Below are 14,474 nucleotides of genomic sequence, written 5' to 3' on the forward strand. Positions count from 1 at the left end.
TGACAAGTGTTCATTTCATGAGACCTTTTGAGTTCTTTTGTGAAATAGAGTTTTGCAATGAATATTGTCAGAACAGTTAGGAAAGCTGATGTCAAATATTATCATCTTTGAAATACTATCCATTGCACAGTTTTGTTGTGGTGGTGGCTTTTTTTAAGCAGATTGTATTAAAAAGTGAACTGAAGGCATAAGATTCTCAACGGCAGAGTATGATACCATTTGTCAAATACTAGAGGTCTGAGGCAGAAAATAGTATAACAATAAACTAGCAGAGAAACAAACAAGCAAGCAATGTGAGTAGGTCTCTGGAACAGTCTTTCCAGAAAGACTGAAGGGACAAGACTTGAAGGAAAGCAACACATCTGCATATCTAAGGAGAATGATAACAACATCAGATGAAACAAGTGAATATCAGGATTGAAAAGGCTGCAGAAGTTTGCAAGCAGATGTCAAAAAGCATACAAGAAAATGTCAAGAAAAATATAACAAGCAGCTAAAACTGGTTGCAGAGATTAGGGTGCTAAATATATGCATGATGAGCACACTACTCTATGGCTTGCAGACCCAAGAGCTGCTTCACAAGCAAGAAGGGGAAAAAAGAGGTTCATAAATAATTTCTGCAGATAAAACTGGGGTCAAATGTAAACAGAGGCAGAAAGCAAATAAAGCTCTGCCAGAACTTGCTTTCAGAGTTCCTATGCCTGGCTACTTTACCAGATAATGAGAGAATGACTTTTTCTTAAATCGGAATTAAATGTGGGAAAATCTGGGAAACAAGGATGTTCCAGAAGCAGAGAGAGGAAAGAGGGTTAAGAGAAACAGATTCAATAGAGCCACGCTCCCTCACTCAGATCATCCTCAGAAGTCTGCTTGCTGCAAGGTAATATCTCAAAAACCCACTGCTTTAGGTATCTAAAAACTTCATATGGCAGTAGTCAGGGCTACATAATCAACATTGCCTTTTCTATGGTTTTACATTTAGTTCATTTAAGAAAGGTAATACACATACACAATATAAAAAGCAACTTGGACCCACATATTGAAAATAAAATAAAAGCCTCATCTCGTTCCCACACCCGAACTAGAGTCTGGGGTCAAATGTAAACAGAGGCAGACCTAGAGTCTGTCCTGGCTTAATAGCACCTGCTTCCTCTGACTATAGGAGAGGAGAGGAAGAGGAAAAGTCTGCACGTTAAGCTTTGCTTCAAGATACATTTCTTCCTAAGGCAGAATGTTTTATGGTTGCAAACATCATTGATCATTATCATCTGAAATCCCATCTTTAGTAGCTATTGTTTTGCCTTTTGTTTATATCACTGTACATTATCTTTCCTGTAGAGCTGCTCCCACTTCACAACTTTAATAAACAATAATAATTTTTAAATCTGTATTTCCAGCTGTGAATTTATTTCTCATCTCCAGATCTGTCTCTCTAACTCTCTAACATTTCACCAGCATTGTAATCCAACAAACCAATTCACAACTGACTTTCAATAAGTAGACTTCTGAGGATGATCTGTGTGAAGAAGCGTAGCTGTATTGAATGTTTCTCCTAACTCTCTCTTTCTTCTCTCTGCTTCCAACTCTTCCTGAGTACATCCTTTGTGAGGTAGGTATTAGGAAAGATGGGATTCCTGAGGCTGTTCTCACTCTGGTTGAAGCATTATAGGAATTTCACTTTGGGTCAGTTTCCTCTTACATCCTACAAGCTGCAGTATAGCAAAATGGCTAGATAAGCTCAGTTTTTCAACTAATAAAATTCTCATATGTATGTATGTATCTAATCTATCTTATTGCCCCCAAAACAGAGTATTTTAAGAATTAAGTATGTTTTATAGTATATGAGAAAGTGATAATATATAGACAGAAAAGTAAAACAGAGAAAGAGAAAAAGTAACACCAGGGGACAAGGATAACAATTGCTATCAAATAATTTCTGGAACCATTCCCTGTTTTTGCTTCCCTTCTATTTAAATTTCTTACTTATTCAAACTGAACTTCTGAAATATTCTTCATGTCCCTTTCTAGCACCTTTATCATGAAATTGGTTCCCTGAAAACATCATTTTTATTGTATTATTCATCTTAAAATTTTTCAATGCCTCCAGTCATGCATGGAAAAAAAAAGTCCAACTTGTTCTATGTGTTCAAAAAATTTATTTAAACATGTTTTCTAGCCCATCCACAACATCACTTCTGGAATGTAATTCACTGAGCACTTACTGGGTATCAATCAGGTGCTAAGTAATCTAGTGGAGAAATAAAATAATTAGGCTACAGTCTCTATTCTTAAGGAGTCCAGTATATGGCAGAGAAAAGACCAACAGCAAAAAATAAATACCCCTAACCTACAATCTTTGATCTATAATTTTAAGCTTTATGGTGTTTTCCTGCTCCTAAAACCAATTCTGTGCTCAAGCCTACTCAAATCTTTTTGCTATCCTTCAGAATTCATTTACAGGCATGTCCCTGTCCTTTCTGCAAAGACACTTTAACCATTTGGTTATTTTCAGGACTCCTATAGAATTGATCACTGGTACAATTGATTTTGACACTCATGTCAATATTAAAATTTACCTACTAAAAATCTACTTTCTTCCTTCTGTACTAACAGATGCTAATTTTATTCCAAGAGGAAATATGCCCAGCTAAATAATTGTATTTTCCAACTTGCCTGGCAGATAGTGGCAATCAATAAGAAGTAGGCATAAGGACTATGTTGAGTTTTCATAGAGTTCCTTAAAGTGACCTGACTCAGACAGATAAGCATTGCTGTATTTTGCTCTCTCCCCGGTTCCTCTTTCTTCTAGTCTGTAATACAGACAGGAAGGCAGGAAATCCAGTAGCTATGCTGGATCACAAAATGACCTTGAGTGTGAAAACCATGTACTAATCATGGAGGAGAAAGACTAAAGATACTGGACCTGATAATTGTGGGGCTGCCACACCAATGCATAATAAATATCCATGAACTTCTTTTACGTGAAAGAGAAATAAAATACATATTAGTCTAATCCACTAAGATTTTGCTGGGGTGGGAAAGAGGAAATTTCATTTTCCTTATCCAAGTGCAATTCCTAACAGACTTAGCACCATTTAGCCAGGAATTCAGTCATTAACAAAACATTTGTTCACTAGACATTGCTATGTACTGGATTTTATCCCATATTAATGACACGAAGACAAATGAGAAATAGTCTTTGTTTTCTAGATGCTCCCAAACTCAGTGGGAAAGATAAAGAAGAAAAAAAACAATTAATATAATACATTGGACTCAAGCACTGTGGTAGAGGCCACCCTCAAGTGCTGTATGAGGACATATTGGAAGAACCTCAAAGAGAATTGCCTGCAAAAAGTAGCACATGAGCCAAAATCTGAAGACAACCAGAGTTATCCTGTTAAAGGGGCAAAAGGAAGTGTGGAGTTATGGGGCTGCATAGGTGGGCAGAGGACAGGTTACAAAATGGTTTATCATGCCACACTCAAAAATTTAGGGCTTTATCTCAAGATGATTAGAAGAAATTGAAGCATTTTCAAAAGGAGGATCAAAATCAGACATATTTAACACACATGAGTCTAGAAATTATTTGGAGAATTTTGAAAAGAGGAACATCACTTATAAGGCTGTTGGAAAAAGCAAACTATAAAATAAGAAGCCTGATGAAGAAAAGATGTTTGATGGAAAAGTAATTTGGGAATTATAATTGACAGAATTTCCTGGGGATTCGTTGTAGGGGATGACAAGGTAGTAGATAGAGTCGGGTATGATTCAAGAGAATGGAGGTGTCACCAACTGAGAGAGGGAAGAAGAGGAGCATGTTTATTGAAGGCTCTGAAAAATGAGAAATTCAATTTTGAACGTGATGCTCCTGAAGTGGCATAAGATAGCCAAGGGGGTATTTTGTAGGTGGTTATATATAAACACCAAGTTCTAGGCTGAATTTCAATCATCAACATCTATGTGATGGTGAAACCATGGATACAGGTGAAATCACCCAGATGATGAAGAGTTACAGAAATAGACTTCTGGGGGAACACCACCTTTTAACAGACCAGCAAAGGATGAAAAGGTCGTGAAGGAGACTGAATGTGTCCAGAGAGATAAAGGAAATCGAGAGAGAATGTGAATTGAATGCTAAGAAAAGAAAAGTTTCAAAATGTGAAGAGGGGTCAAGGTTAAATGTTGCAGATCAGTTGAATGTTGCAATGCTAAAGGTTTTAAAGAGAACTTTAAAAAGTATATTATTTTTGGCTGCAAATTCAGGGAGAGCTGTTTCAATGGCATGTAGGGAAGGACCAAAGTTGAAGTGGTTTGAATAACAAATGGGAAATACATGTATGATAGTGCAATTATTCGCTGTGTATCATGTCTTATATGCTCAATTAAACTACAAGTTTCTCAAAGGCAGTTTTTACATGTCTTTTCTATCCTATTTATGTTCCATTTTATATATGCATATATATTTACTTGTGTGTATAGGTATATATTTATTGTGTGCATAGACATGTACATATTGTATACATATATTATTTACATGTATATATATGTATTAACAAATGTGTATATTGTATTTATAATATACACAACAATGGTTGCAAAACCACCAATGACTGAGATTGATCTGACAAATATACAAATGAAGTTCCCTGGGCCTCCAAGCCTACTTTGGCAGCAGTGACATTTTTAATCACTGTTCTTCCTTTTTCCCCCTTATCTCCCAAGAAATATCCAGCCTGTTTTTCCCATAGTCTTGTGTGCACCAAGTGTGTAGCCTGCTGTTTCTCTTTGCTCCTAAACATTTATTTTCCTCCTTTGTATCTACATTTTCTTTCCTCCTCAGCTCAGATTATGAGCAGCCTGCCTTCAACAGCTGGCATTTATAGAGCTATAAGTTTCCATAACTTCTACAGGAGCTCTGCATGCATGCGCATGCCAAATGAAGCCCTCAAGCTATTCTGCAAATAATTTCTACAGTAAATTTTACTTGTAATGACCTGAAGTTGAGTTTGTATCCTTTAGGAAAAGCTATATCTTCTCACAGAGCCCACAAGTTCTCTCTTTGCAATGTTAAACCCAAATTTTACTGGTATAATTAGTATACATATGAAATTTATGGCACAAAAAATATAACTGATTAAAACAAATGGAATCATTTTAAGCAGCACTAAAGCACAAACATACTTTTGTTTAGAAAACCTCTTATTTTTCTTATGGTGTCTTTGGGCTTAGGGTTCCCTATAACTCCAATATGGTGTGTTTGGAGCTTCTATTATCTGTTTTGGCATTTCACACATGGAACACCTGCATGAGATAGGTTCCTTGACTCCACAAACAGCTTGCAGGATAAGAATTTATTTTTGAATGAGTCTTATTCATGCTGTTTAAATGAGAGGAGAAGTGCCACTAATAGTTTCTTTCAGTTTTGTAACTGGAATACTTTATAGTTTCATCTAACTTTTATTTCCCCCCATCTGCTTAAGTGACTTCATTCCTCTCAAGTTGAAAATGTCAAGGCTATTTACTAATACTATGTTAGAAGGTCTTGGTGCATTTTTTCCACCACCACCTTTTCCCCTGCCAACACTCTGCTTTTATTCTCACAGGTCTTTTATAAACCTTTCCTTTCCCACTGATATTCTCCAGTCTAAAACAGCTCCAAAAAAAAAAAAAAAAAAAAAAAAAAACAGTAACAAAGGAGGGGCTGGGCGCGGTGGCTTAGGGCCTGTAATCCCAGCACTTTGGGAGGCCGAGGCGGGTGGATCACCTGAGGTCCGGAGTTCGAGACCCACTTGACCAACATGGAGAAACCCCGTCTCTACTAAAAATACAAAATTAGCCGGGGGGTGGTGGCACATGCTTCTAATCCCAGCTACTCTGGAGGCTGAGACAGGAGAATGGCTTGAACCTGGGAGGCAAGAGGTTGCTGTGAGACGAGATTGCTCCATTGCACTCCAGCCTGGGCAACAAGAGCGAAACCCCATCTCAGAAAAAAAAAAAAAGTAACAAAGGAAGAATAAGAGTTGGAAGAATAAGGGGTAAAGTGAAGAGTGGAGAAGCAACTATTTTGCAAGGAGATATAATTTAAATTGCCTCAGTCACTGTTGTTGTATAAACCATTGAATCAATAACACTCCTCAAAGTCTAAACTTTCAAAATCTCTCCCCACTGGTCTCCTACGGTACTACCAATCACCTTTGCTCCTTTCTGTATATCGTACATTCTTCTTTTTATAAATCACAGGCTCCATGGTATCTTTTGTTCTTAAAAAAAGCAAGAAACTAAAAATATTAAGTCAAGTTATTTGTGTTTCCTTATTTGATTCCAAGGAATGATAAGGAAGGAATATATGCTTTCTTCATCTTCATAGAGCAGCTCTACTTTCTCTTTCCACAATGAAGGAAGATTTTCATTTGAAGCACATGGTGTGCTGGTTGAACCTCATGTCTTGGAAAGTTCCTTCCTGGGCTTCGACTCTACTATGAAGGAGGTATATGTGGGGGTAGTGGTGGAGGGGTAAGGGAATGGGAGAAGGTTGACTTGTTAAATGTGCCAATTTCCATGGTGTAAATACTTTCACCATAGTAAACTTCAATAAAACAAGAGTTTATAAACTGGCTCTCACATTTTTTGAAAATTTAACTATTGGCCCTCATAAATTGTTAGCTGTTCCTGCATACCACTGCAAAACGATGAAAGAAAGAGAGAGAGAAAGAAACAAAGAAACAAAGAAAGAGAAAGAAAGAGAGAAGGAAGGAAAGGAAGGAAAGAAGGAAGGAAGGAAGAAAGAGAGAAAGAAAGAAAGGAAAAAAACTGAAGAGGGAAAATACACCTTTTTCACTTTCTGCCCTACTAATTATTTAATTACTTGCATTACTGAAAGATCTGTCCTTACAGCTTTGTCTGGGTCTGTTCTAGGCAAACTAGCAAAGTTGGTATGATTCACCCTCAAGGCCTTTTGTTCCCAATGCCTCTCTAGTGTCCCGTGATTTAGGAATCCTGCAAAATGCTCTCACTTCCATTAAAATCACTTGTCCTGCTTTGCATTCTGTCACTAATCTGATAACTTAAGTGATTCAATGAACTCACAAATGAGTTAATGGGCACTAAGTGTTAATAGAGATAACGGCTTGATTCTGTATTCTTTCTTGTATTATCTACATTATAAAGAGTGACGGTCTGAAAAGAATGTTCTAACTGAACAATGATTCTGTAGCACTATTGGACACTAAGAAAACAAGAGAGCTTTTAGGTGTGTCATGTTAATTCTCAAATGTTAAAGGGATATTCAACTCAATTTTCTCCAAAATAAGCTGGGAAAACTCCAGAGGATGGAGGAGGTTATCTTACTCAGTTTGTCTAACTCAGCATTTCTTTCTGACTTCTCAAAGGCATTTCATTCATGATTTCTATAAAATCTTGTTCAGGACCAAGTCTTCTGTCGCTTTATTCCTGAAACTTTCCATTTCTCTTGACGCCTGTGCTGTACATTAACTTCTGACCTTTCTCCTATTTGAAAGTTCTTTCTTATTCATTTGAGATTTTGCTGAAATTTTAGCTCTTTCTAAATAGGTTTTCCTAGTGCTTATCCCACTATATCTCACCTTCACTCTGATTTCATTAGTCTGTATATACCAACTAGATGACCTGGAGCAAGATAGTTTAGCATTCTGTGCCTTGGTTTCATCACCTGTAAAATAATAATGACTTTAATATGTACCCCATAGAATTATTGTGAAAATTATGTTTGTTAACATGTGAAATGCACGTACAAAAGTAATGCACACATAGTAACTTTGCAATGAAAATCAGATTTTAGGGGTAGCAATATGATATTTCATTCCTAATCAAACTTTTTGCTTTTTAAAATCAGAGACCATTTCTTAACCATCTTTGTATTCTGAGCTTCTCTCTTCATACCTAGCATTTTGTAGAAGCTCAATACATATTTCCTGACTAATACATAATACCTGGTAAGTTTTCCCTAGTCATATTTATGCATATGTTTGGTCTTCTAAATTAAATTGTAAATATTTCTAGGAAAGAAATCTGCCCTTTACATTTTTAAATTTCTCAAACAACTTAATGTAGTACAAGAAACTTAGTAATAACACTAATGAATGAATCAAGAATGAAATAGTAGGCGGGGCTTGGTGGCTCACGCCTGTAATCCCAGCATTTTGGGAGGCCAGGGAGGTTGGATCACCTGAGGTTGGGAGTTTGAGACCAGCCTGACCAACATGGAGAAACCCCAACTCTATTAAAAATACAAAATTAGCTGGGCATGCTGGTGCATGCCTGTAATCCCAGCTACTCAGGAGGCTGAGGCAGGAGAATTGTTTGAACCCGGAAGGCGGAGATTGTGGTGAGCCAAGAGGATGCCATTGCACTCCAGCCTGGGCAACAAGAGTGAAACTCTGTCAAAAAAAAAAAAAAAAAAAAAAGAAACAGTATTAACCCTAGATGACCTCCATCGATTGTGTTCTCACATGATTTTTTAATTTTCTTTTTCTGCAGTATCAGAAAAAGCATCAAGTATAACAGCTGCCAGTGCAGGAAATACAGTTGATTTATGTACTTTACAGTATTGAATAGGTTTTTAGCACTCAGTGAATAGTAATAAAAACAATAATAAAAATAATAACTGGTGTAAACTGATTAAACAAAAATTATACAGTGAGACTGGTCATTCTATTGCAGCTGGAGAAATGAAGCAGGTCTACTACTTATAGATGAAAATTAACTTTCATGGTTTTCAGTGACTGCAAACAAATGAAGATGAGTCAGATAAAGTAGAAAAACTAAAACTAAAAGTTCTCCATATTGAGCTAATGTTTTAAATAAACATTGTGAGCCATATGAGCCATCTAGGCCAGTTAGATCGCTATAATTAAAGTAATCCTCAACAGTATTAAAGCTGAATTAGAGCCTTGGTCTCAGGCAAGATAGGATAATCTTTCTATTGGATTTCAAAGGACTTCAAATTTATATCAATTCATACTATATTCTTGTAGGTAACTTGTACTGTTGAAATAAAAAGAAAAAGATGACTAAAGCCAAGGAATGCAAAGAAAGGGTAAAGGAGTGAAGATCAACAAATAGAAGAGCTTGTTAAATTGAGCTCAATATTTTCTTCCACACTGAAAAACAAAGAGGAAGGCCTTGGTACCAATGTCTCATTACTTCTTCTATTCATCCATGTATTCATTTTAGAAGCATCCACTAAGCTATTACTATGTTGAATATGGGGCTAAATAAATGCTCACAAGTCATAAACACCTTGAGGCATATACGTTCAGGCATTATTTTATGCTCTTGAGTAGATAAAGATTAAAATATACTTTGGCTGTATGTCAAAGTAAGCTTTCCTATGGGGCAAAGTGTTAACAATTAACAATAAAGTGAATGAACTCCTACTATATGCCAGATCCTGTTCTCAAGCCTTCTCAAAACTCCATGAAGTAGGTATTAATATTATACTCTTCATGCACATGAAAAAATCACAGCTCAGAGAGATTAAGTAAATCACACAGTGTCATTCAGCTAGTAAGTGGCAGAAGTAGGCTCTGAACCCAAGCAGTCTGCCTTCAGGGAACCTGAAATCTTCACCACTTCGGTGCACTGTCTCACAATAATAGTCTTAGGTAACTCTGAGTGCTTACTATGTACTGAGTACTCTAATCACATTATGTTATTGACATTCAACAACAACAAAAAAAGTCTGTAAGGTAGATACTGATGAGAAGCTCAGAGAGGAAAAGCCACTTGTTCAATAGCATGTAGCTTAGTAGTGATGAAGTTAAGATTTAACCCAGGAAATCTACCTGGTCCTAAAGTCTGTGTCTGTAACCACCACACCATGCTTCTTCCATCTGAGATTATTTCCTTTGTATGAGCAAGCTCATTACCACACAGACATTTTGTATTGAGCATTACCAGGAACCATGCGGATATTTTGTTCAACAAAAAAACGGAAAAATCCTGGATCCCTCTGTAGAGTTATTCAAATGGGTCAGAAGTCACAGCAGAACTTACGAGAAAATGTTCAAATTGAAGCACCCTAGTTCACCAAGTCTCTTTCCCCTTTATACATAATTTGTGACTAAATAGCTGTACTGAAGAGGGCTGCCCCCATTTAGCAGGGAATAATAATCAGGAGACCAACATGGGCTTAGGTATCAGATTATAATAACAACAGAGGAGAGTAGAGAGTCTTGAAGAGCCCCTTCTCCATCGTGGCCTGAAGAAAACTGTCTTTGCTGTATTTTTTAAAGAATTCAGGGAAGAGATATACACCATCTAGGAAAAAAGCAAAAAAAAAAAAAAAAAAAAAAAAAGGCAGGAAAAAATTAAAAGCAAGTTAATAATGCTAAAAATAGAAATGGAAGTTGAAGATAAAACCATTTTGTAATAAAAGATATATGAAAAGAAACACAATGGGGACAACATAGAAAACACAACTAGGGCTATGAAAGTCCAACTTAAAGAAATAAGAGAATAATTACATGGGGAAAAATAAATGTTTAGATATAAAATAAGATATAGAGAAACTAAATTCTATAGATACATATATGAGTGTATACATGTGCATATTCATATCTATCTCATATTTCTGAGGAAAAGAACATAAAGTCTGTGAATAAGGTATATGAAACACTGAAATAATAAAGACCTGAATTTGTATATTAGAATTATATATTCTGTCTTAGGAAAAAAATGATATGGATCAACCAACAGCATATATATCCTAGAGCAGTTACTAGACTTTGAGTATAAAGAAACAATCCTATGGCTGGCTTCCAGGCATAACTCCCTCACAGTTCTACCCCACATTCCCCATGCATGGATCTTGGGAGGATAGTTGCAGGTACTTGCAATGAAAACCTGAGACATGTACTGGAACAGTGAGTGGGAAAAGATGTAGCTGGGTCACTGACAGTATACGCTACAGTTGACTTTTTATAATTTGGAATTTGTTGTTATAAATTATCCTGAATAAATATTTGATTTCATGGATAAAAGAAACCTAATCACAATAACCCATTAGAGATTAAAAAATAATAAACAGTGGATAGCTGAGGGAAATAAAAGGTGGCCAAAATATTTTATTCCCCTTTAAATTATCTTTCAGTAATTAAGGTCACAGACAGATATTTCATAGAGCCCAGGCTATGCAATCCTTATGAACACTTTTGAGAACGATATCCAACCACTTTAATCACAATATCTGACTTGATAGAGATGAATCAAAATAAAGATCAGCAATAGAGCACTTGAAATAGAATGTAATGATGGTGAGCAGTGATTCAATTTATGTAAAAGAACTAATGATGAAGAAATGTGGGTACTATTATTATCACTTGTCAGTTCATATGATACAAGAAGACTGGGAGAGAGAGTAAGAGAAAGGGAAACACATGAAGTGAATGTACAATCATTTTCCAGGTGAGACCTCAATATGATACTATCTCCTTCTGTCAAATCAGTTTTAAAGATGAAAGTTATAAGTAATCATAAAATCAACCAAAATACTAATATGATATATTGGAAGGTGAGACTAACAAAAATTATTACTATGTACACTTAGTAACTAATTGAGCTAATTGCTTATCTTTTGATGTGGAGATTCAATAAGTTTTCCTAAAGTTAATAAATTAAGAAACAGTTTTAATATATTAAAACTTACAAGAATAACTTTAAAATCAAAAAGCATTCCAAATCTCAAGAAAAAAAATAAAGAAGAAAGCACAATAAAATACGAACTATTCAACAAAACATTGAAAACAAGAACACAAGAAATATAAAAAGATTGTAGTTCTAACATCAATCATATTTCTTACATTAGTAAAAGTAAATACAATAAAATATTAAGAATAAAAGATACTTTGATTAGCAACAAACCCCAATTCTATAGTGAATCTAAGTAAACTTTTAAAATAATGTGGCTTTAAAGTAATAAAAGAAATGGATAGGCAAAGACATATTGGGAAGATGCTAACAAAAAATAAAGTAAAATTTATAACATTGATATTAGAGTTGAAATTGTGAAAAAAAGAATATTAAAGGAGTTAAAGTTGACACTTTAATACTTTATAATGTGTAAAGACACATTGTATGTGTGTGTATATAATACATATATAACACTCTAAAGATAAAACAAATTCAAGATTTATATATTAGTAATAATAGTATAGTAGTAATAATAACATCAATAATGATAACAATAGTGAAAATAATCAAATGAATATCCCAAAAGCAAAGTCTGCATACTATAATAGAAAAATAAACAATAGTAGACTGTTTTTAACTTATATTTTTCAACTCGTATGGTTAAATAGACCAAATAAGTGTGTATAATAATAAAATACATCAAACTCCATACCCAAAACATTATAAAGATGTTTACTTTATTTTTTGAAAAGAAACTAATTTAGAGAAATTCTCTGCTTAAAATGCACTACAAAATGAATAACACAAAAGGGAAAAAAACAAAATACCAACTGTTAAAAGACAGAAGTTCTATGTTCAGCAGCTCCTAAGTTAAAAAGAAGAAGCCAAACCAAAGTGTAAAATATCTAAAAAAAAAAAGACCTATACAAATTGACTAAGATTATGATCAAAATAAAATTTTAGATTTTAATAATTACCTGTATAAACAATGAAGGATGAAGTAAATATTCTGCTAAGGCAATTTAAAAAGTAATGAGAACACAAAAATTAAGAAATGCCAAAGAAAGAAATTGCTAGTGATAAAAGCAAAAAATTAGTAAATGGGATAAAAAAAGGAGGAAAAGAGTTAAAAAAAAAAAAGTCCTCAGCCAAATCTCAGCATCATACAATGTACCTTTGTAACAAAACCGCACATGTACCCACTGATTCTAAAATAAAAGTTGACACAAAAAGAGTAAAAAAATAAATTCACAAAATGGTTGATGCACGTGCACATAAATATGTATCATATATAACTAAATATAAAAAATATATTCATATATTACTTTATATGTAACTAATATTAAAAACAATATAGGGAGAAAGCACATATATTATATATAACTACATATAAAGCTAAACACATATATGTGTTTACTAGTGTGTTTGTGTATGTGTGTACATATAAACTGATTTTGGAAAAATAAGATAAGGAAACACATATCATGAGTAAAACTGAAAAAAATAGAATATGTTAGTAAGTACAGATGAAGTGGAAATGAGAAAATATACTCTGAAGGTAAATTTGAAAGTCTGCATAGAATAAATTATTTCTTATGATAACAGAAATTACAAAGTTGGTCCTAGAGAAACATAAAAGTTAAATCAGATAAGGAAAAATTTTCAAATTTTCATTGGGGAAATACTAAGAAAAATCTTTATCCCTATTCCTAAATAAGTAAACCCTTCCTAAACAAAAGGGTTTCAGTGCTGAATTCTAACCAACTTTTAAGGAAGAGATAATCCAAAACTATTATAAATATTCCAGAAAATATAGAAACATGTAGCTTCCAAACTCATCCATTAAAGAAGCAATATAAAATTAATATCTAAAATCTAGAAAATTACCTTTTGAGAAAAGTGAGAAAAAAAAAATCACAGCTCCAAACTACTTTCGTGTGAAAAACAACAGAAATAATGAAAACCCCCAGCATATTGAAAGGATAACACAAAATTAAGATTTGTTCATGAAATGTGAAGAAAAATAATCTTCATATAAAGCTTATTATTGTATTTTAAAAGATTAGAAAGTGAAAAGATAAAAGCATATGATAATCTATGTAAATAATACAGTGTTTGGTAAAAATTAACTTCTAATCTTGATTTTTATAATTCTTAATTAAATGTATTATTACACCTTTATAATGTGTTTGATATGTATCTGAAAGCAAAATCCATGACAATGTGAAATATTAGAAGCATGCCCATTAAATTCAGTAACAATAAATAAGGATGCTGATTGCTATCACTATTATTCAATTGTTTAACATTGTTCTAGAAGTACTAGATAATATATTTTAAGATTTTAAAAATAAACAATGTAATTTTTAGAAAGAGATATAAATACTGGAAAAAATAAAATAACTTTTTTTAGATGATTATGCATCTGGGAAACCCAAAATAATTAAAATTAAAAGCAATACAAATATTCACTAAAAGAGCAAAATACAAATAAATAAATAAATGAAAATTAATTCCTTTCCTAGACACAATCAAACCCAATCATAAAAATACAGAAATAAAATCTCATCTTAAAAATAAAAAGAATAAACATCTAGGTATGAAGTTAATCACAAATTTGAAATATCTCTGTAAAAAAACTAAAATTCTACCAAAGAATATATATATATATATATACTTTAAGGGACTTCAAAAGAAAGAGACAAAACTTATTCTTGCACAGAAAGATTCAGTATTGTAAAAATGTAAGTTCAGACTAAATTAATCTACAGATTTCACATGATCCAAATAAAATACCAACAGCCTTA

General features: G+C 33.7%; 1 long non-coding RNA gene across 2 annotated transcripts in view, besides 1 other annotated feature; it reads left to right on the forward strand.

The window, feature by feature from the left end:
* LINC02161 (long intergenic non-protein coding RNA 2161) overlaps window positions 1-14,474 on the forward strand; it is a 213,063-nt gene that overhangs the window by 124,081 nt on the left and 74,508 nt on the right. The window lies entirely within an intron of this gene.
* Window positions 2,752-2,811: a silencer, noted in NCBI's record as "silent region_16166". NCBI's record gives its function as "represses an Ori minimal core promoter by ATAC-STARR-seq in GM12878 lymphoblastoid cells {active_cell/tissue: GM12878}" and the evidence as "EXISTENCE:reporter gene assay evidence [ECO:0000049][PMID:35858748]".

Source organism: Homo sapiens, chromosome 5, assembly GCF_000001405.40.
Source record: "Homo sapiens chromosome 5, GRCh38.p14 Primary Assembly".
NCBI lineage: Eukaryota > Metazoa > Chordata > Mammalia > Primates > Hominidae > Homo > Homo sapiens.